Source organism: Homo sapiens, chromosome 3 (genome assembly GCF_000001405.40).
Source record: "Homo sapiens chromosome 3, GRCh38.p14 Primary Assembly".
In the NCBI taxonomy this organism is placed as follows: Eukaryota; Metazoa; Chordata; class Mammalia; order Primates; family Hominidae; genus Homo; species Homo sapiens.
The window spans coordinates 54,938,130-54,959,684 of record NC_000003.12 but is presented as its reverse complement, the minus strand read 5'-3'; the positions used below and the strand labels follow the sequence as shown (position 1 = coordinate 54,959,684).

Sequence of the window (21,555 nt, the reverse complement as noted above, 5' to 3'; positions counted from 1 at the left end):
TTAATCAGGGCTGCACAAATCAATGTCCTTTAAAAAATTATAAGCTTCCAAGTTATAGCTCCCTAGTTAATAATTTCTTATTAGGTCACCACCTAATAACAGTTACTAAAGAGACCATAACAAAATTGGGGGTCAAGTTTCTAAACATTTCCAAACCAATAATAATAGAACAGCCACATATAGTTGCCAAACATCTCTGAGTTGGATGTTTATGACTTATTTAATATAAAATAGCACTAAAATCTCCACGTGGGCAGTCCACAGAGCTGGAGGGATGCCTGCAAACCTTCTGACTGTCAGGTTCATGTTACAGGGCACGGAGATGGCAAAGAACTTGCCCAAGCACACCCAGCTCCCTGGAGGGACCTGAGTCCCCTGTGGAGCTCCCAAACTCAAATTCCCTCCAGAGCTGACAGGGAACTGTGGTGAACTGAACACCACCCTGTGCCGCAGTCTCCAGGGAGCTGCAGAGCTCAGCTTGGCCCAACTGGTACCTTGTGGAACACGAGACTCAATATACAGACAGTTCATTTGAAAAACTGACAGCACTCTAATAGGATTGCCAGATAAAGGGGTTTTTTGCTGATGCAAGATCTTGCTCTGTTGCCCAGGCTGGAGTGCAGTGGCGCGATCATGGCTCACTGCAGCCTCGACCTCCCAGGCTCAGGCAATTATCCCACCATAGTCTCCCGAGTAGCTAGGACTACAGGCATGTGCCACCATGCCTCAATTTTTGTGTTTTTTGTAGAGACAGGGTTTTGCCATGTTGCCCAGGCTGGTCTCAAACTCCTGGGTTCAAGCAATCCTCCTGCCTTGGCCTCCCAAAGTGCTGAGATTACAAGTGTGAGCCACCATGCCAGGCAGATAAAATATTTTTGGTTTACTAAATCTGGCAACTCTAGGCTGGGGGTTACACAGAACATCCCCAGGCAATGACCTGGGGTGATCTCTGTTGCATACTTAGCCCTGAGAGAATTGAGACAGTTTGTATCCTGCAGCTTAACAGTTAGGACTGGGACCAAGGCCACCTCCATCAACATGACTTTCATGACTTTGCTATTAGTTCCAGAAAATTCGTGCTCAGAAAGATAATAACTATTGCTTTACTCAGGAGACGTCCCAATCCCAACCAGATCCCCACATTGGAAGACCTGCCCAGACTCCAAAATGCTGTAAATATCCACCCTGGCTTCCTCTTTCTGAGACACTTCTAAGACTATCAAGGTTGTATTCTCCCTTACTGCTGTAGGGAATAAACTGACTTTGACCTAAAAATACTCTTTAAAAAAATAGAGGTGGGGTCTTGCTCTGTCGCCCAGGCTGGAGTGCAGTGGCACAATCATAGCTCACTGCAGCCTCCAACTCTTGGGCTCAGGCAGTCCTCCTGCCTCAGCCTCCTGAGTAGCTGGGATTATAGGCTGAAGCCACCACACCCATCCGATACATGGAATATTCTGCTGGTTTTCTTGTCAGCAGTTAAACCTGCTTCTTCATAGCATTTATCAATATTTGACATTAAATGACATTTTATATTATTTATTGTGTTTCATCCTCATCCAACTAGAGGTTGAGGCTCTTTGTTTACTGCTGTATTCCCTGTACCTAGAGAAGCTACCAGCACAGGCAGGCACTTGTGAACACACACGGGGTGGTTGAATGCAATGTGGATGGAGATATCAATTATTCTCAGGGAGTTTGCTCTCTCCAGACATCTACCTCTGCCATCCATGTGGTTTGGACTCTGTCCCAAGAGCAACAGAGAGCAATGAAAAGGTTCTCAGCAGGGGAGGGAAGGATGTGAGACACAAATAGATTTGTGCTTTGGAAAAATCTACAGGGGAAGTTGCTGGGATGCATGGTTTGTGTCTGGGGGACTGTGTAGGGGTCATGCGTGCTCATCCTACCGGGTGAGAGATGACAGACGGACTGGCATGGAGCAATGGGCACCAGGGATGGAGAGGTGTGATCTTGTTTCTAACCCTCCTGACTGGGTGGGGCCTGGAACCCCTGAGTTTGCCAAAGGCCCATCAGTCGTATCTGAATCTGGCCAGTTACAGCACTTCCCCACCGGCCCTCCCTAACACACACACCAGACCTCAAGGCTCTGTCATTTTAGTTTGATAAGTTTGAACATGCTTTGGCTTCCAAGTAAATTATTTAATGAAACATATTTCTCTGCTCACCAGATATGTCTCCGAATTACCTAAGACTTATTCCATGATGAAAATTATTTTATGGTTGGGTGTGGTGGCTCACACCTGTAATCCCAGCACTTTAGGAGGCTGAGATGGGATGACTGCTTGAAGCCAGGAGTTCAAGACCAGCCTGAGCAACAGAGTGAGACCCCATCTCTATAAAAAGTTTTAAAAAATTAGCTGAGTGCAGTGGCGTACACCTATAGTCTAAGTTCCGTAGGAAGATCACCTGAGCCCAGGAGTTTGAGGCTGCATTGAGCTATGATTGTGCCACTGAACTCCAGCCTGGGGGACAGAAACCCTGTCTCTAAAAAAAAAAAAAAGAAAATTATTTTATAACTTGATTCATAGGAATTATATCACATAGTAATCATAGCAGTAGTAATAATCATAATTAATCCCATTTATGAAGCCCTCTAGTATGTGCCAGGTGTCTGCTAGAAGCTTAAAAAACTTTATTGCTAATCCTAATAACATCCTGCAAACTTGATATTGGAGAAGAGCAAGGGTCATAGAAGAAAGTTATGGGCCTCAAGTCTCCTACTAAGAAGTTACCTTCACCCCTGTTTTCAACCTATACAGCAAAGGCAAAGAGGTTTCCCTAACTGTAAGATGTAGTGTGCTCTCGGTGTTCTTTTCTGTCAGATAAAATGCAAACTGGAGGTATCAAGGTAAGTCATTTGCTACCTAAACACTCTAGAATATTTGCACCAATTAATGCATCTAAATATTCAAATGGGTTCTGTCTTCCCCTAGGTAATGATGACTGATTTGCTTAGGTGATTAGGCCATTACCTTAAGATTACTCTGAGAACAAATTACCTAATCTGGAGGTAGAGTTAAAGAGCTCTCCACTAAAGAGGCAGGGTCTGTAGGATGAGCAGGAATTTATGACAGCCTAAGACCAGTTGAAGAGGGAGTGGGGGAGAAAGTATTTTTGGCTGTGCACAAAATCCTAGGTTGGTAACGAGTTTGAAAAGACTGAGAACGTTAAGACCATGTGGCCCATGCAAGTTAGGAAGCTGCATTTCCTGGCCTTTAAAAGACAAAGACAGGAAGGTTAAAACAAAAACTGGTAATTATTCTGGGGATAGCCTGACACAGCAAAATTGTCCCCTTGGTGGTGGGTCAACAAGACCATCACTTTCTTTTCCCGGAATCTCCAATTCATTGTACATGGAAAGGATGACTACACCAGGAACAGCCAAGGGAAGACCATGCGCTTACGGGTCTGCTCATGCAGCAAGGCAGCCTGGCAAGGCAAGCCACTGGGCTTGGTTCCCTCTGGCCAGGGAGATACCCACTTCAAAGTCAAACACCTGGGTGGCAGATATGATCAGCTGCAGCAGACCTGGCCCAAGGCAGATCCTCCCAGAAGAGCTGCACATGAGGTGATTATGAGGAGGGAGGGGAGGGAGAAGGAGACAGGGAAACATTAAGGAGGGGCGGACGGCACTCTGGAGTAATCACGCACTTTTTTCCCTCTCATTTCCTGGAATCTCAGGACCTTAGAATATGTGGGAGTCAGCCCTGGAGTGGAGAATACCAATTTTTTCTCTTCATCAGGCAGATGGCGAGGCTGGAAAAGCCATCTTCTGTTGTTAAGCCACTGCTCCTTGACTCTCACCAGGTTTCGTGAGCAGGCTTAGCTGGTCAGGTCTCCTGAGGGTGGGCTGTGAGGTGGGGCTGGCACTTTCCCATCTGATTTGGCAGGTCAACTCCAACTCCTTCTCAGCAGGGCCAATACCCAAAAAAGCCCCCTCGGTAGACAGAGGCCTCAGGGGAGAGCCAGGCTGTCTGATCTCAGTGTCCCTCAATTTACACATTTCTCCATTCCACCAACATTCTGTTGGGACTCAAAGAATGATATCCCAAAGACTGGAGCTTTGACATGCTGATAGACCTTAGAAGCTGCCTCAGAATCAACGTTCCTCTAGCTTAGTATTGTTTCTCCTCTTATCCTAAGTGCAGGGAGGGACTCTCTTTGGAATATCCTCATCTGACCAAGAGAGCTTTTTTTTCTTTTTTCTTTTTTCCAAAAGAAATGCAATTGTCTTAAACCCCTGCCCTAGAAATCTCATCAAATAACCAGGAAAGATCAATGACCAGAGAAGAGAGTGGGAGTCATCACCAGCCCAGACAGACTTTTCATCTGTTCTTCTGAGAGTAGCTTCAAGAGATTACCTGCGGGACATTATCTGCATAATAAGACAACCTTTGTCCCTGTGCAGCTCTGCCCCTCACCTTCCCTAATGTCTGCCCGTCTCCTCCAGGGTGGGTCCCCATCTCCCCTGTCCCCTGTGAAAAATGTATATACAGTATGTAAGCTTCTGTACCCCACTGGGTTATTGGATAATCATTCTCCTACGATTCCCCATGTTACGTACGTTCGAATAATTTTGTATGTCTTCTCTCCTACTAATCGGTCTTTTGTCAGTTGATTTTCAGCAAACCTTCAGAGGGTGAAGGGGAAGTTTTCTCTACACCTCTCATATTCCCTAAGCATAGCTGGTGCCCAGTAAGCATTCAATAAAAGCTAGATGAGTAAATGAATGAGCAAATGCACTGTGGTCCAGACACAAGGAGGTTAATCGGCGCCTCTCATGCTGTCTCTGAGAAATAACTCTGAAACCCAGTTGTTCTTCTTTCTGAAGATTCCTGGCACCCCCTGGCTCTTCTCTGTTCCCTCAGCTAAAGCATTCCATGCTTAAGGCCTCAGGGAAGGGAGGACACACAGGAATCCAGAGAACAAAGAAGCAGATTCTGGATTTTTGACTCTCAAAAGCTGAGGCCTGGGGAATCTCAGGGCAGGAAGAAAAACAGGGGAACTGCCTGGGCCAGTTTGTCCTCTCTGCACCCTGTCTTCTCCACACCCTACCTCCAGCCTCCTGAACGAGCTGCTCAGGAAAGATGATTTGGACTGGAAAGGGAAGAGAATCAAAGGGAAGCCGAAGGGCTGGTAGACCCCGACAGAAAGATATGCACCCTGATGTCTGGGCAGGCATCTGCCTTCCTACCTTGGGTCTAACTCTGGAAACTACCAGAGCAGTGAGGAGTATTCTGCTCCACACAGTCCTTTCTCTCCTATTGCTGGGAAGAATGTGAAAGCATCCCTGCTCTAAGCCCTGCTACTGCCAGAAAGGAGACAGCCTCCCAGAGGCCACAGACAGACAACTCAGTGGGGAAGTGTTCGTGCTCCCGCAGGCTCTTCAGAGTGAGGCCCAGGGAGCTGCCGACTGACTCGAAGGTGACCTTCCCTTGGAATGAGGAGGCCATAGCACTGACCTGTGCCTGGACTGATGACAGAAGACCAGATGCGACTGGGTGACTCAGGAAATGCCTGCATGATGACATGATTAAATAACCCCCTCTCTCTTTGGCCTCAGGTAAACCCTGGGAATAGGCAGAGAGACACTGAATTCATGGAAAGTTCTTGCCTACTAGGATAATGAAGACTTCTGATGGAAATTAGGTTGAATTCAAATAAAACTGCATGGATGGCACTCCTGAAATCTGTGGACTGAAATCTGTGGCCTCTGCTTATTCATGACACAAGAACATAAACAATGGAGCACTTAGCAAAACGGGGTGACCTCAAGAGGCTACTCAGACTCCAAGTCCCAGGCCTTTCCTCAGGTCTGCTTGGGGCTGATCCTGGAAGAGAACCTAGGGTTGTGCGCACTGACTTGCAGTGCACCCCCCTCACCCACTCCCAGTGATTCCCACAGCCTGTCAAGCTAGCAGAGGCAGGAGCCCGAGGTTGCCCCAAGCGTTCACAGGCAAGGGGGAAACAACCAGCACAATGGCTTAATCCTCACCTCCTTCCCAGCTCCTGGGGAACTGGACCTTTTAGCATGGACAGAAGTCTTTAAAATAGAAAGGATCGTGGATGTCCAAGTATTGCAAGAAGTGGCTTTGAGAGAATAAGGTCTCCTGAGGCCTTGTTGTAATGACTGGTACTTTTCCTCTACGCACAGCATGGGCCATCTGACCACCAAGCGCGAAGGCTTCAGCTGCGTCCCATGATCTTGGCCCAGTGCTATCTGTACTGAGGGTGGGGAATTTCATGAGTCTCACCTCTATAGGTAAGAAGCCGTAGTGTTACCGGGCCCCACCACTTTAGCAGTTTCTTAGTTACTATCTGTGTCTGCTTCCTTCCCAGATTTGAAAATTTCAGACAAACTTAGGGCTGAGTCCTGCCTGTTTCATGTACATGCAGCATGCCTTCAGAGTCAGTTTTCTCATTTGCACAATGGGAACAGGAGTCATGCACACCTTATACGTTTGTGCCTTAAATGAGCTAATGTATGTCATGAGCCTAGCACAGTGCCAGGCACATAGTAAATATTCAGTAAATGTCACCCACACATACACATAACAACAGGTATGTACATTAAATACATGCATTATTTAATCCATATCCTGGTTTCCTCCCCTGCAGTTGAGTCTCTGTACAGTTTTTCCAAGACTGGAGAATGACTCCTGCTCAACAATCCATCCACTAAGCAGACTCCATGTCACCTTCAGGAACATTAGGCTTCAAATCCCTATGAAAAGTTTCCTCCTTTGTTGCTGGAAGACAAGTAAGCCAGACCTAGTGTCATCTCAACCACCCAGAACATTCCCAACTCTGCTGAATTTGTAAAACATCCAAAGAGCACGTGGAATCCTCATAGATAGATATTGTCATTGTCCCTCTGTTCTACAGCTGAGGGCATTGAGGTTTTGGAGTGGCTGGGCTGGAAAACAGATGAGAGAGCTTTCCCATCTGGAAGCTGGAGGGAACTATGCGGGCACCAGAATTTGAACCCATGAACACCAGATCTTTCTGACTTCAGAATAGAAGCAGAAAATAAATAACTATAATGAATGAGCCAAAGGGACTCACCTAAAATTACTTCAAAAAATATGCATTTAATGACCCTGTCCCTATAGAAAAGATTGACATTCCGTCTGCTTAATATGAGATTGGTAAGTCCACATTTTCTTGCAAGTTTTTGCCTCATGTTTTATTTTTTCTTTCCCACATCTGTGAACTGATCTGTCTCTGAGAGCCCAAAAAGAGCTCCTAAGATGCTCATGACATCTTCCAGAGCCTCCAGACCCTTCATGTTTGCGGCCTCCCTCTGAAGAAATAAGACAACTGGGGAGCCTCCTGGGAAACTAGGCAGGGCCCCAGAGAGATCAGAGCCCTGGGGGGCTTAGTTTCTAGGAAACCTGTGCCCACAGGGGTGCTGCAGAGTGCAAGGCCAACATCCTTTGTCTCTAAGAAGGCGGTTACAGAGGGAAGAAATAGTATAGAACCAACAGGGGTGCAGGAGGCAGTTTATAAACACAGCTGGCCAGCCAGGCCCAGTGGCTAACATGTGTAATCCCAGCACTTTGGGAGGCTGAGGCGGGCAGATCTTGAGGCCACGAGTTTGTGAGCAGCTGGCCAACATGGTGAAATGCCATCTCTACTAAAAAGACAAAAATTAGCCAGGTATGGTGGCAGGCACCTGTAGTCCCGGCTACTTGGGAGGCTGAGGCAGGAGAATCATTTGAACCTGGGGTAGGGAGGTTGCAGTGAGCCGAGATCGCGTCACTGCACTCCAGCCTGGGTAATGGAGTGAGACCGTCTCCAAAAATTAAAATAAAATAACAAGCATGGCTGGTCCTAAGAAGACAGAAAATAGAATTACTGAGGGCCCACTCTGGGCCAGGAACCCACCCTGTGTTATCTTACTTAACTCTTCAGCCATCCTGCAAGGGAGAAGATGTTTTCTCCATTAAAGAAAAGGTACACGGCGGTTCAGTGACTTAACCAGGGCTGTGCAGTTGCCAGGACTTCTTGGAACTGGGACTGGAGCCCTGCACGCCTGACTCAGAGCCAGCCGCCCTGTGGCTCCCAGGCTCTCCTGTGGTTCTCAGTGGGGCTGCGTCACCCCCTAGGGGTCTGTTCTGGAAGTCTGTAGAGATGCTTCAAAGTTCACAGTAACTGAAATCCTACAACTCACAGGACAGCAGCCCCCCACCCCACTGCCCCCGGGCCGCACACCAAAGAACAGTTCCATGTCCCTAATGGTGTCGATGGCTTGGAACTCTGTTTTATGTCCAAATACAAAGTATGTCTTGCACATGGAATTTTCTAGAAACATTACTATAGTGCTGTGAAAGAGAGAGATGGGTCTTCTTTATCTTGTCTGCGGCTTGGCTATTACAGAGGTATCTGGCAGGATTTGTGGGTGAGATGTCTACATAGTGGCCACTGCATTGACAGATTTTGCACCAAAGTGCAGCACAAGCATCTAGCTACTTTATTCTGTATTATCTTGTAGTTATGCCCCAAAATATTACAATATCTATTTTCCTATTATAAACAACTCTCAACTAGTTCTTGATATTATAGTTGGAGCGTTCTGTAGATTTTTTTGGCAGCATATAGGAAAACAAGTTACATTTTCTATGAATTTCATTTGGAGATAGTAAAGGGAATATTACAAATGATTATTTAAAAGGAGCCTTGGGTGTGAGAAGACTCAGGACTGTCCTGGCTTCAGTTTCCCCTCTGCCACTGAGCCCAGAGAGTATCCTCTTTATTTTCCCTCTCACCCCATCTTGTCTGTGGCTCTCCTCTCCTGCTCTTGCCTTGAAAGCACAGACTTGGCTCAGGCAAACCTCACATGTCACCATGCTTCCTCTGTGCGTCCCTTCCCGTTTATTTTGGCCCCGATCAAGGTGCAAGATATTGGTATCTGAGGCTCAGCTCAACTGATGGATTTCCCATCTCACAGCCGAGCAGTAAAAGAACGGGTTCCTTTCGTGAGTAGAGAACCTGGGTCCTAGATAAGGAAAACTGTTGAGGCTGCCCTGCCACAGCCTGGAGCTGTGCAGGTCCACTCTCCTGTTGGCATATTTTCTTTGATCAAGCAGCATTCTTTGAATTGCTGGTAGGCTGGGAAACAGGAGGAAGCATTGCAAACTGCTTCTTCTTGCACAAAGCATCTTAATTATAATTATTGTCAGCATTATATCGCTGCCTTGCAAGATGAAGAGGGAAGGAAGGAACACTGCAATTTCACAGCATACACAGGTTCCCTAAAATGAGGAGGGGGTTGCAAAGAGTAAAAGAGCAAGGAACAGAGCCCTCAGCAGATTAAAAGGGGCCTTTGTAGTGGCTGCATCTGTACATTAAAATAAATCTCTCCCAGCACTAAAATAACATCTACGTTCATTTGGGCCAGTGCCACATTCAGCATTTAAGAAATTTGACAAAACATTGCTTGAGCATGTTGAAGTTTGCCAGCTCAGAACAAAACAAGAAAGCTACCTCGGCTGTATGGAAATAGTTCTCCCAGTTCCCTACTTTTCACTTATGACTCCCATTTTCCAGCTGCACTTGAAAGAAAAAGACTTCGCCCTTTTTTCAGGTGCCAACCACTTAGCATGGCCCTGAAATGCACAGCAAATTGCCACTGGAGGTGGTAGACTTCAAGACGAATCTTTTTCTTTTCCCCTAAAGGAAACTACTAGAGACTCTGCATGCCTGATGAAGCCTTTAATAGCTAGAGAAACATTATTTGGGGTGGCCCTCAGGTAGACTAGACATGAATAATGCCTCATAAAAATAATTACTTCTACCCAGAGCACAGCATGCCAGATGAGCTTGGCAGGGGCCCAGTTTTCAGAAAGAATCACAGGCAAAAAAAGTCTTCCATCCAGGAGCCTAAGGATGCATCTATCTGTGGCAGAGACCACAGTCACTTCTGTGGAGTGTGCCCCTGCAAAACCAGTTCTGAATTTTTCTGAGGCCCTGACCAACGATGTTGGGCGGTTTTTCAGGTTACTGTTTGCAACACAATTAGGCCTGAAATAAGTGACCAATGCGCTTGAGAATGTTGATAATGTGCCCTGATTCCAGTGCTGCCCCTTGGGTATGGCATCAATGGGTAGATTTACACAAGTTCTGAGCTGGAATGGTGGAGTGGGCCATTGAACCCAACCTGCTTATTTCATAAACCAATAATGAACGATCCAAAGAGGCTAGCAACTTGCCTGATGTGATTCATAGATGGCTCAAACTAATTTGAACTCCAGCTGAGCTGGAATAATAGACAGCTGTTACTTTTGCCAGCTGAGCAGGCATGTCCCCTTTTTTCAGCAGCAGAGACCCTCCCTCCTTATCCACACCTAGACCATTTCCTTTGGGGAGCTGTCATGACTCCAATTTCCAGTCCATGTGGCATGTGTAGGCTTCACCCTCCACCTGCTAGGCATAGGGATGCATCCTATGCTCCTGTGCCAAAGTGATAGGCACTGACCAAAACTATATCAAGGAGAACAAGCCCCAGGACATTGAACTGAAACTTTTAGGAAAGAGGGGGTTTCTTTCCACTGAGTTTGCCAATCTGCTCAGATGAATACTGGGGGCACTGGATGAGGAAGGCCTGCTTGAGAACAGGGCTGACACAAAGAAAAGTAAAACAAGAGACTGAGAAACTTGGTGATTTCAGCTGAGCCCCAGATCCAACTGTACCTGAAGCTGGTTATAACTATGGACTTTTTAGTTACATGAAACAATGTATTTCCAACCATCCCCAAATAATCAAATAATCAACTTCCTTTAATTTACTGATTTTGCTTAAACCAATCTGAGTTTGGTGGTTGTTGCCTGCACTAAACAGCTCCTGACAGATGCAACTGTAGTCTAGTTTGGTAGGAGATGAGCAAATTATCTTCATGTATAGAGATCTGTCACATAAGCACCTCCATGCAGACAGTCAAATACAATAGCTGACAACAGCATGGGCATGAAAGGCAAATCTGTGGCATGAATGGTGCCCTTCCCTATTTCATGTCAAGTGTCTCTCATGAAACCTAGTATTCCTTCCAAGGAGTCTCATCATCCTTCCAGCATAGTGTGCCTGGCAACCATGACCATCATCCAGTTGTACCGAGTTAGCTGATCATGCAGAGGTGCTCATGGTGAAACCACTGCAGGAAGATGCTACCTTTGCCCATACTAGTTGAATGTACATAGGCCATTGAACTGCTCTTAGTAACCAAGTTCTGGACAATGAAGAAGGCAAACACATATATGCCCATGAAGGGCCTAGTTGCTAACCTCTTGGGAGCATTTTAATTTTTTTCTAATGACAATTATCAAGAATCTTCCAGTTTTTACTGAGGTCAGGTGTGAGGTGATACAGTGAGAGAATTACTCATCTGGATGGGCTCTCAAGAGGTCACCTGGAATGGACCTTGGGCTCACATCACACATACTTTTCTAGTCAAAAAGTTTCCTATCTCACTCTCTAGTCAAGACAACCAGGGGAAAGTGAGCTGGGGGTGAGAGGAGAAGTAGAAATAGAATGTCATTGTAATTTGAGGTCATAGGAAGGTCGAGAGCACTTGATGGGTGATATTCACCTGGACATCACCATCTCCTCCGTAGAAGGTCTGCCCTGTATTGAAGGAGAAAGGCCAAGACTGCATTTCCTGGAATCTCCCCCATCTGTGGTTCCAGATTAGCATTTGCCAATAAGGAGCTGGTGCTAGATTTAGAAGGCAGCAAAGAGACAGAGGCCATGTTGCTCTGGAGGCAGCTGCAGGCAAATTTGTTGGCAGATGTGAGGTTTGAAGCAGCTCCCTAGTGAGTGCTAGAGAACCATTTACATGGATGCTTCCTGACCCACATCCCCAAACATTGCAATGATTATAAAAGCTTCTAGTTGCCTTAGGGCTAGCATCCAAGCCCTTCATATTTGGAATACATAGGGTAACTTCTGTTCCCAAGACCGAGTCCTGACTGATAAGAGTCAGGACCTCTTATTTTCATGGGGTATAGCCAGAGCAAAAATTTCCTTTGCCTGCTACTAAGTCTCCACTATCTCCATACTATAATCAGGCCTATTCCCAGGGCATCAGGCCACTGTGGGGACATCTAGCACTCAAAATTTTGTGGATATATGCTGCTAACCCACAGACTCAACAGTATAGGTTCTCCTGCAGGTACACAGGAGAATGCTTCAGTGCCTCCTGAGAAGTCCTATCCTGCACTGGCAGATGCCAGCTGAGATCACCTGGAATCCTGGTATTCTTTTTCTTTCTCCCTGCTCAGCAAGTCCTAACCAGAGCCTGTTATACACCTTGTTTTCTGTCTCTTAGGTTTGCATTAGCACTGCTTGGAAGATTATTCCACCCTTTTCTTCTGTTTCTTGGTCTACTGGAAAAGTTAAGAGGCAGCATAGAGTAAAGGTGGGCTCAGAATTAGAATCCAGTGATCCCACTTACCAGCTGTGGAAGGGATTTAGGCAAGTTACTTAACCCGCCTCTGCTCAGTCTTTAAGATTATGATGATGAAAACTGGATCAAGCACAGTGTCTGGAACACAGTAAGAGCTCAGTAATTGTTAGTTTTGGTATTATAGTATTTTCCTAGAATGGAAGATCACTTTCATTATGGGGTTCCAGAAAAGATTATTGATGACCCAATTACTTGTCTAAGGCTCTCCAGGTAATTCTAATCATCTTAAATGCACTATGGTCACAGGCAGATTAATTTTTCACAATGCTTAACTATTTTTATTGACACAGTGTTACAATTACAGATAAAGATCATTCACACTACAGCTCCATGCCTTAAGAGTACTCTCAGTCAGGGACTAAATGGTCCCATCATTTTTTTTTTTTTTAATAAACCACATCTACTTCCAAAGTTGTATGTCTTACCTTTCATTTCTTCCATGATTTCGGGTGTTTAAGAAAGGATTGGATTCTTTGCATCCAGTGGAGAAGTGAGCAAAGCAACATGCTTTTCTGAGGTTGGCCAAAATGCTAGCTCCCCCCAGGTTTGCACCCAGCTTCCATGAAAGGACGGCTCTCCTGTCATTATTTGGCATTTTGCAACAAGGCCTTGGTGAAAGTAACCTGCTCTTCTTCGTTAAGTCAAACTTTCCACTGGAAGGGCTGTTTCTAAGAGGCTTTCTCTTCTTTCCTGCTGCTAACGGCCCTCACATCCCCCCTCCTTTCATTTTCTTCCCCTCTCTATATTCTCTTCATCCAACAAATACTGACTGAGGATCTCTGTGCTGGGGACACAGTGAAGGATGTGACAGCTCAGGTGTTCCCTGGGCTAAAATCTCTGAAGGCATACAGATATTATGCAACCAATAACCATTGTGGTGGTCTGAAGACATGTACAGGATGGGTACAGGAGTATAAGAGGGGGCACTCAACCAAGTCCTGGGGACTGGGGGAGAAATGGTTTTTAACCTGCAGCCTGAAGCTAGGGGTGGAGGTAAGCATTAACAGGCAAAGTGAGAGGCAGGGAAAGAACATGAGAAGCTAAGACACTGAGGTGGAATTCCATAGAACTGAGAGTCTTTCAGGACAGGCACATCAATGCATACTGCTTTTTATTTCCTTAGCAGCTTCCACTTCTATTTATGGCATCTTAGAACCAAGGAAATGTGATAATGAGGCAGGGTACTCGTTTTCCTGCTGTTTGGAAAGAGCTAGGCGAATAAGCGTGGCAAAGAACTCTTGTGAAGAGCAGGAGCCGGGATAGAGGTCAGGCCTCCTCCTTTATTCCAACGAGGATGGCCCCCGCCATCCACCACCCTACCTACGCCTGGCATTACCTCAGCTTTGCTGCATTGCCCACTGACTACCTGGCAGAAATAACTTCTCTGCATGCTGCAAACCCTGCCTGGTCCCTGCCTGATTCCCAACATACAATGGCCCAGGACACCTATAATCTTGAAAAAAGCAAGGCTGCCTATAGACACCTAATGGGGTAGTGATAGGGAACCACTGTCAAACCTGCATTTGGTGGGGCTGGGGACTGACTGCACTGGATAAGCTTGAGATTCCATTGGGTGGGCTGAGAGGCACTGACACTAAAGTTTGAAGAACTTACATAACTTGCCCCAGGTTATGGTGCTAATAAGTGGGAGGGAATGGAAAGAAGTCCAGGCCTCCTCAAAGTCTGTATTTCCTATGGATAGGCACCTAAAAGACATTGTTCTTGCTCTGGAGACACTCATTGGCTCCTAGGGAAAAAGAGATACATGCCTGGGCTGGATACAGGAGAGAGAGGTCAAAAAAGAGATGGCATTTGAAGACAGGGTGGCCCTACTTGGCCACTTTCGAGGCCAAGATACTACAGAGTAAGGCTCGGAGAGCCAGATCCCCTGGCAATTCTAACCACTGCCACAGACAGACTGGAGGGCACAATACTAGCAGGTATCAACACCATGTATTCTGCTGCACATGCCACAGACACCAACTTATATATTCCTGAAAAACTGCTAATGTTCAGATGAGGGAGGGAGGAGGGGCTGAACTGGGAAAATGAGTACCTGCATGCTGATTGATGGGAATTCCTAACCTTCCTTTCCCTGCCCAGCTCTCAGATGCTGACAAACAAGCTTATAGCCCCCAAACAAGGCCTAGAATTACTGTCATCTTCCCCATTCTCCAGTTTGGCTAAGTTTTCATTGATTCACCCAATAGTAAAGTCTATTTGTGGAGAAACTTTCAATCTGCATTTTAGTGCCTCACTCTTAAAAGTGAACTAGGCTACAGATATTTGGGGAGAGCCTTCACCTTGAAAAAAGAAAGAAAAACAGACAACTAAATGAGTTAGTGTTACAGCAGAGACAGCAAACACACACACACACACACACACACACACCCCCAGCTCTAACTACAGTCAATATATTCAGAGATAAAAGAAGTTATTGTGTCTTTGAAACAAGAAAAGGCTGCTATAAAAAATAACTCTTGGAGGCTGGGCGCGGTGGCTCACGCCTGTAATCCCAGCACTTTGGGAGGCTGAGGCAGGCGGATCATGAGGTCAGGAGTTCGAGACCATCCTGGCTAACACGGTGAAACCCTGTCTCTACTAAAAATACAAAAAAATTAGCCAGGCAGGGTGGTGGGCGCCTGTAGTCCCAGCTACTCAGGAGGCTGACGCAGGGGAATGGCGTGAACCCGGGAGGCAGAGCTTGCAGTGAGCCCAGATCATGCCACTGCACTCCAGCCTGGGCGACAGAGCGAGATTCCGTCTCAAAATAAATAAATAAATAAATAAATAAATAAATAAATAAATACCCTGGGAAATTTAAAATAAAACAGTCAAAATATACAAATGAATTTAAAAGTAGAAAGATATATGTTGGGAAAAGAAAACGTGGCAGATAATAAAACAAAAAGACCTAAAAAATAATCTAAGAAAATTTCCTAGAACTGAAGGATATGCATTTCTAAAGCAAAAGAGTTCGCAGGTCCTCAGCACAATGAATGAAGTGAACTCACAGCATCCTGGCATAATGAACATGCAGAAAGCTTCTAGGGTGGAGGCTGGGCAATCCTGTTCCTACCAAAGGATATGGAAATGGTATGATATCAGACTTCCTAAACAACACAGGAAGTCAAAAGAAAATGGAGCAATGCCTTCAAAATTCAAAATGATTTTCAGCCAGGTATTCTATGGCCAGTCAAATGGTTAGGAAACGAAGGCATGGAATGAAGACCTTTTCAGAGCTACAAGGTCGGAGGAAATTTTACCACCCTTTCTTAGTAAACTACTGGAAAATGTTCATCACCTAAATGAGAAATTAAGTCAAAAAAAGAAGGCATGAGGGTTTAGGAGAAAGGGGGAGATGACAGAGAAAAATAGGGAAGAGAAGTCTTAGGTGCCTGCATGCCCAGCAAACCTAGAGAGCTATTAGTCCGGACTGAAATAGGATGACACAGAGAGGGAGATCTCACCAAAGCAAGATGAAATAGGCAGAAATACCAAACATTTAGAAAATAGTAGTAATACATATTTGAGACATCTGATGAAACACATGGGGGAAAATTTAAGATGAGTAGAAGGAAAACCAAGCAATAAGAAGACCAGGGGATTTTCTAATCCAGGGAAAAATAACATAAAAAAGAAAACACATACCATGCTATTAAAATAATAGAGAATGTACATAGATTGTCCTAATAATATATTCGCTGACTAATTAATCAAGAACAATGAAATGGGCATACAGTCATGTTGGTGGAATAGGAAGAGGGCAGGATGAGCCGGTGTAAAAAGTCCAAAGCACCATGTATTAAAGGAAGTAAATACACATGTCTAAAATTAACTAAAAAACGGCAATCTTAACTTGACAGTGAGAAACAGAGACACTAAGAGAGTTGGAAGTGGTGGCCTCTAGGAAGTGAGAATAGGGGTTGGGAATGATGGATCAGGGCATGATTTTTTTCTTTTTTAAAAAACATTGTTATTATTCTCATTTTTTTTTTTTTTACCAGAGATAGCGTGTTGCTATTACCCAGGCTGGAGTGAAGTGGCATGATCATAGTCCACTGTAGCCTCGAACTCCTGGGTTCAAGTGATCCTCTTGCCTCAACCTCCCTAGCAGCTGGGACTACAGGCACCTGCTACCACACATGGTTAATTTTGAGTTTTTATTTTATTATTATTTTTGAGATGGAGTGTTGCTCTGTCGCCCAGGCTGGAGTGCAGTGGCACAGTCTCAGCTCACTGCAACCTCCGCCTCCTGGGTTCAAGCAATTCTCCTGCCTCAGCCTCCTGAGTAGCTGGGACTACAGGCACGTGCCACCGCGCCTGGCTAATTTTTTGTATTTTTAGTAGAGATGGGGTTTCACTGTGTTAGCCAGGATTGTCTCAATCTCCTGACCTTGTGATCCACCCGCCTCGGCCTCCCAAAGCTCTGGGATTACAGGTGTGAGCCACTGTGCCTGGCCTAATTTTTTTTATTTTTTTAGAGATGGAGCCTCGCTATGTTGCCCAGGCTGGTCTCAAACTCCTGTCCTCAAATGATCCTTCTGGCTCAGTCTCCCAAGCTGCTGGAATTACAGGCGTGAACCAGTATGCCTGGCTCCTGCTTCTTTTTCTTTTTAAAACATCTTTAGCACCACTTAAGTTTTAGAAACTGCATTCATATATTACTTTGCTATAAAACCAAGTTACTTAGAAATAGAGATGCATTAAGAGGAGCATATAATCAGCAGATTCAAGGTCCCAGCCTCAAGATTCAGGCCTAAAACTATTTCCCTCTTCGCTTATTTCTCCCTGTGCCCAAATCAGAAGGTGTGCATGCTCTCGTGGAGGCTGCTGCCACTGTGGGAGGGGATGGCAGAACTCAGGGGGAGAGGTCAGCCCCTACTTCTTGGGCCAGAGTCTGAATCTTTGAGCTTTGACTGACTGCCTGTTCAGAAGGTGAGTCTTAGCCATGCTGGGACTTTCAAGGGACCATGGGCTGGCGTTAAAAGCACTGACACACCTGGGCAGAGATACACGGTTGTATCACTGCCCTGTTGCAGAAATCATTCTGCAGATGCTCTGGGATGCCATGGCTAAGGTAACAAAGGATTGCCAGGCTCTAGCCAACACTTCCTTGGTAAACCCTATTTGAAGTTCCTATGTGACTGAGGACGCATTTTTACAAGAAAGAAACTGATCCCAAGAATACCACTTGTGATGATCTCTGGATGGAATGATTTTCAAATAAATCAAGTAGGTTTACTGAAAGGCAGCTGTCATTGCCATTTCACGAGGTTGAAGTTTATCCCATGGTGAGCAGTTTCCATTTTTACTACAGCCGAGACAGGTGCAAACAGAGCTGCAGAACTGTGTGGCAGGGAGGAGGCCAATGCATGTCCCTGAAGCCTCTCCCCAGACCCAAGGGACTCACCCTAGCCTTTGACTTAATGTCCCTTCCTCTAGAGGTCAAAGACATCCATGCGAACCCTCGTGGTTAGAATTCTACCAAGATCCCATTAGCAGGAAGAAATTATTACTTTAATAAAACTTAAACTTGTAACATCCCACAAACCATTAAATGTTATGGGTTGTCTTGTCACAAAAGACAATGAAAACAATATGGGGCATTGTGAGGGGAGCAATGATAGATATTGAAAAACCCAAATGTCGTTAAGATTTTATTTACTGCTCACCCACATAATCCCGGCATTATAAAAACGATGAACAATGAATGGAGGGGGAAAACGACAGATGAAACTGGAGTCTTAAAGCCCCATCCCTGGGCCAATAAGTAGTTTGAAAATAGCGTCCGTCAGGATCCATATGTTTTCTGCATGTGTAAGAATACTCTCACACAGGGGGCTTACTTCATAACTGAGATTCTTTTTCATTTAATTCAGTCATATTAGATTATGGGGCTGATTATGATCATATCCACAAATCAGTATTTTAACAGAGTTTCCATGGAAACACTATATGCCCCTGTTTTTTTACTTTTTGGACAAGGCTTTGCCTGTTTAACAACTTGAACAAGTTTGATGAGGACAACATGTTTTGTTTAAGTTACTTTAACTGGGGCCAATATTTCCTAATTGCATTACCAGGAGAAACATTCACGGCATTACTCGTACCATGGAAAACCTCCCCTAGTCCAGTGTTTGATTTGCTTTAATCACTGGAGAAAAGGAAACATACCAGGATTGCCTTATCAAGTTTTAAATGTGTTAACTGGTTTTAAATCTATGAAATAATCTCCCTTATTAAATGACAAAGTTAGTCTTGTTAAGAGGATCGGCATTTATGGCTATATCCATTTATTTTTCAAGATGCAAACATACAGATACCTTTGGCTCCCTGCTAGGGAGGTGAACTCATTGTCCATAAACATATGCCCTTTTTTGCATATGGGTTTCAGAAAAATTCCACCAAAAAGCCCCCTTCCCCTGCAAAACCTGCAAAAATAAACTGAATAATATCAAGCACAGAATAAATGCAAAAGGAACGTCCAGAGTACAAAGACTTTTCATACAACAGCCTTATTGTTTGCTTCTTTTTGGTCCTTTTAGGCATTCACACCCAGAAAACTAGTGATGTTCACTTCCAATAGTGACAGTTTGGGAGTAGCCTGTAGCAAGGTTTTTGAAAATGCTGCATTATATAAAGACAAGGGGAGGGGGCTTTACGGACTGGTGTCAGAGTTCACCCTGACAGCAAATAAAACACATGGCCCGAAGCTCTGTGAGCTGTCTGTGTCTGAAATGTTGGTGGAGCTTAATAAAATATCAGTGAGGAACAGTTTAATTTTACAGCATTAGGCACCGAGGCAGTAATCTGAGTGGGATGAGCTGTATTTTAATACATCAAAGTATACTATACTACAGGGAAGTTGAATATATTTTTAGAAGACAGTTGCTCCCTATTCAGAATTACTTGACTCAAAAATCTTCCTTTCTCAAGGATAAGTAGAAAATAGTTGCAGTCTTCCAAGAGCTACCCATCTACTTTTAAAACTGTGCACATGTCTCAAAAGTTAGCTAATCTGTCTCCAGGCAAATGCTTCTTACTGGGAGTGTGGGGCTGTGGCCTGAGACTAGACACCAATGTGGTGAGTGTGTGGTTTTTTCCTGACCATAGAAGATTGAGCTGTCCAGTGGGAAGGCTGTAAGGTCAGCTCCACCTTCTCCATCTTCCACCCCTCTTTCTGAGATGCTCATCTGCTCAGATGGGAGTCCTAGAGGCATCCTGTCCTCTGCATTATGACCTAGAAATCCATCATGGAAAGGGAGTGGTCATTCCACTTCCACTTTCTTCCAGGGCATGCTCTATCTTCAGACTCTGGATGCTCTAAAGCAAGCATGGCCAGCGGCTTTTGTTCATGTGGTTGTCCAAACAATCATGTGGGCCGAAGGGCAGGAGCAGGCCCACAAAATGCCATGCTTCTCCCGCTACTGGTCTATAGATCAAAGGGAGTTCCCTCCTTCCTGCCCAGCAATGAAGAGAGGGTGGGCCTGCAGGGGCGGCTTCTGAATAGGGAAACAGCCATGACAAATGTGTCCCAGATCTGACTGATAGCTCCGTTCTGGGGGATGGACCAGGTTATTGCTAACTCTCTGCACAAAATGCCTTGCTTTCCCCACCTCCGGCCCCAGCACACTTTGCCCAATCCCTGGCCACAGCAGACAGACAGCAGGCTGCCCTCTTTTCCCTGTGGCCCTGCCTCCCTGAAGAAATGGGCAGCGGGAACCTACAAAGGTGAATGTCTTGGCCCTTCTTTTGCATTTCTCCACATGCCAGGGGAAGGGACTGGGAAGAATAAGATGAGATAAAAACGCAGAGTAGTTCAAAGGCTTTGAAGTCCGGCAGATGAGGGTTCAAGTCCCAGCTCTGCCCCTTAGAAATTGGGTCTCAGGCAAGTGAGTCAGTCTCATCAAGTTTCAATTTTCTCTTTAGTAAGATGTAGAAGATAATAGTTCCTACCCTGGAGTGGTGGAGAAATAACATGATCATTTCCAGGTAAAGCACCCTGTGTCTGAGAACTTCTGGAAGGTTGTAAGAGTTTCAGATGTTGGATTCAGCCTTGAGAGTTTAAGGATGCACTGTGTCCAACAAATTGGATATCTAGACAGAGGAAAAGCTAACCAAATAATAAACTGCTAAATAACAGTGCCTCATTATCCCAAATGGAGAGGTAGCATCACAGTTTCCTCTTGGTCCCAGTTTGCTGTCTAACGTGTGCTACCCTTTTCAGATCAACTTCCTCTGGACTAAGTACTTCATTTCTGCAGGCCAATGCACATGCTCTCCTGGGACAGCTTCAGCGGGACAGCATGTCCACTGCCCATGGCACACTAATGGGGATTGTCCACATGCCCAAACTCAACCCTGACTTTTCTAGAATCATATTTCTAGCGCAAGCCATGGGTTTCCTGTGCAAATGCACAGACCACAACAACTTTTTCAACATGCTCTCAAATTTTGTGTTTCCCTTGAAAGACGTTTTTAAAAATAAAAATTTATTTTTATCACTGTAGAAAAATTACCATGGTCACAGGACAAGGAGAAGACACTGAGTCTATATCAAGATGTATAATTTGGGGGTGGGGGTAACTAAGGGGGCTTGGTCAATAGCTTCCCAGGGCATGATTCAAATTCTCCCTTCAGCAAAATGATGCTTGGCTTTGTATTATATACTTTAGGGGCATTTGGGCTAGTCAAACTTGCAAATGGCAAGGATCTATACTACAGGAACACCAACTAGGATTATGTTAGCATGGTGCCACCAGTTGGCTATCTAATACTGTCTGCTTCAAGCACTGGACTAGAAAGGATTCTGAGGCCATGGATGGCCCCAGGGGCTGCTGAGCAAGGTTGCCATGAGGCCACAAAGCAGGTAGTTGCAGGACGTAAACACTCATTTGCCACTTCTGGTCTGCTGCAGTGTTTGCATCTGCACTAACATATACACAAACTCACAGGAGGAAATGTTACGTCCCATCCAGGCAGTACTGGAGCCCCAGCAGGGCTGGTTCTTCCTTGACTGCACTGGACCCAGGCACTGATGTGGTGAGAATGCAACTCTGCCATTCTGCTGCCC

At 45.2% G+C, this 21,555-nt stretch overlaps 2 protein-coding genes across 2 annotated transcripts in view, besides 5 other annotated features; one reads left to right on the top strand and one right to left on the bottom strand.

Annotated features, from left to right (window-relative positions):
- The window catches only part of CACNA2D3 (calcium voltage-gated channel auxiliary subunit alpha2delta 3), a 952,006-nt gene that overhangs the window by 114,873 nt on the left and 815,578 nt on the right, over positions 1-21,555 (bottom strand). The gene's annotated exons all lie outside the window — the stretch shown is intronic.
- LRTM1 (leucine rich repeat transmembrane protein 1) overlaps positions 1-21,555 on the top strand; it is a 48,872-nt gene that overhangs the window by 7,418 nt on the left and 19,899 nt on the right. The window lies entirely within an intron of this gene.
- Positions 528-1,029: an enhancer, noted in NCBI's record as "H3K4me1 hESC enhancer chr3:54992683-54993184 (GRCh37/hg19 assembly coordinates)". NCBI's record gives its function as "activates a minimal SCP1, AML or CMV promoter by ChIP-STARR-seq in primed H9 embryonic stem cells {active_cell/tissue: H9 hESC(primed)}" and the evidence as "EXISTENCE:reporter gene assay evidence [ECO:0000049][PMID:30033119]".
- Positions 2,858-3,849: an enhancer, noted in NCBI's record as "H3K27ac hESC enhancer chr3:54989863-54990854 (GRCh37/hg19 assembly coordinates)". NCBI's record gives its function as "activates a minimal SCP1, AML or CMV promoter by ChIP-STARR-seq in primed H9 embryonic stem cells {active_cell/tissue: H9 hESC(primed)}" and the evidence as "EXISTENCE:reporter gene assay evidence [ECO:0000049][PMID:30033119]".
- Positions 4,843-5,835: an enhancer, noted in NCBI's record as "NANOG-H3K27ac-H3K4me1 hESC enhancer chr3:54987877-54988869 (GRCh37/hg19 assembly coordinates)". NCBI's record gives its function as "activates a minimal SCP1, AML or CMV promoter by ChIP-STARR-seq in naive and primed H9 embryonic stem cells {active_cell/tissue: H9 hESC(naive and primed)}" and the evidence as "EXISTENCE:reporter gene assay evidence [ECO:0000049][PMID:30033119]".
- Positions 5,836-6,828: an enhancer, noted in NCBI's record as "H3K27ac-H3K4me1 hESC enhancer chr3:54986884-54987876 (GRCh37/hg19 assembly coordinates)". NCBI's record gives its function as "activates a minimal SCP1, AML or CMV promoter by ChIP-STARR-seq in primed H9 embryonic stem cells {active_cell/tissue: H9 hESC(primed)}" and the evidence as "EXISTENCE:reporter gene assay evidence [ECO:0000049][PMID:30033119]".
- Positions 20,096-20,596: an enhancer, noted in NCBI's record as "H3K4me1 hESC enhancer chr3:54973116-54973616 (GRCh37/hg19 assembly coordinates)". NCBI's record gives its function as "activates a minimal SCP1, AML or CMV promoter by ChIP-STARR-seq in naive H9 embryonic stem cells {active_cell/tissue: H9 hESC(naive)}" and the evidence as "EXISTENCE:reporter gene assay evidence [ECO:0000049][PMID:30033119]".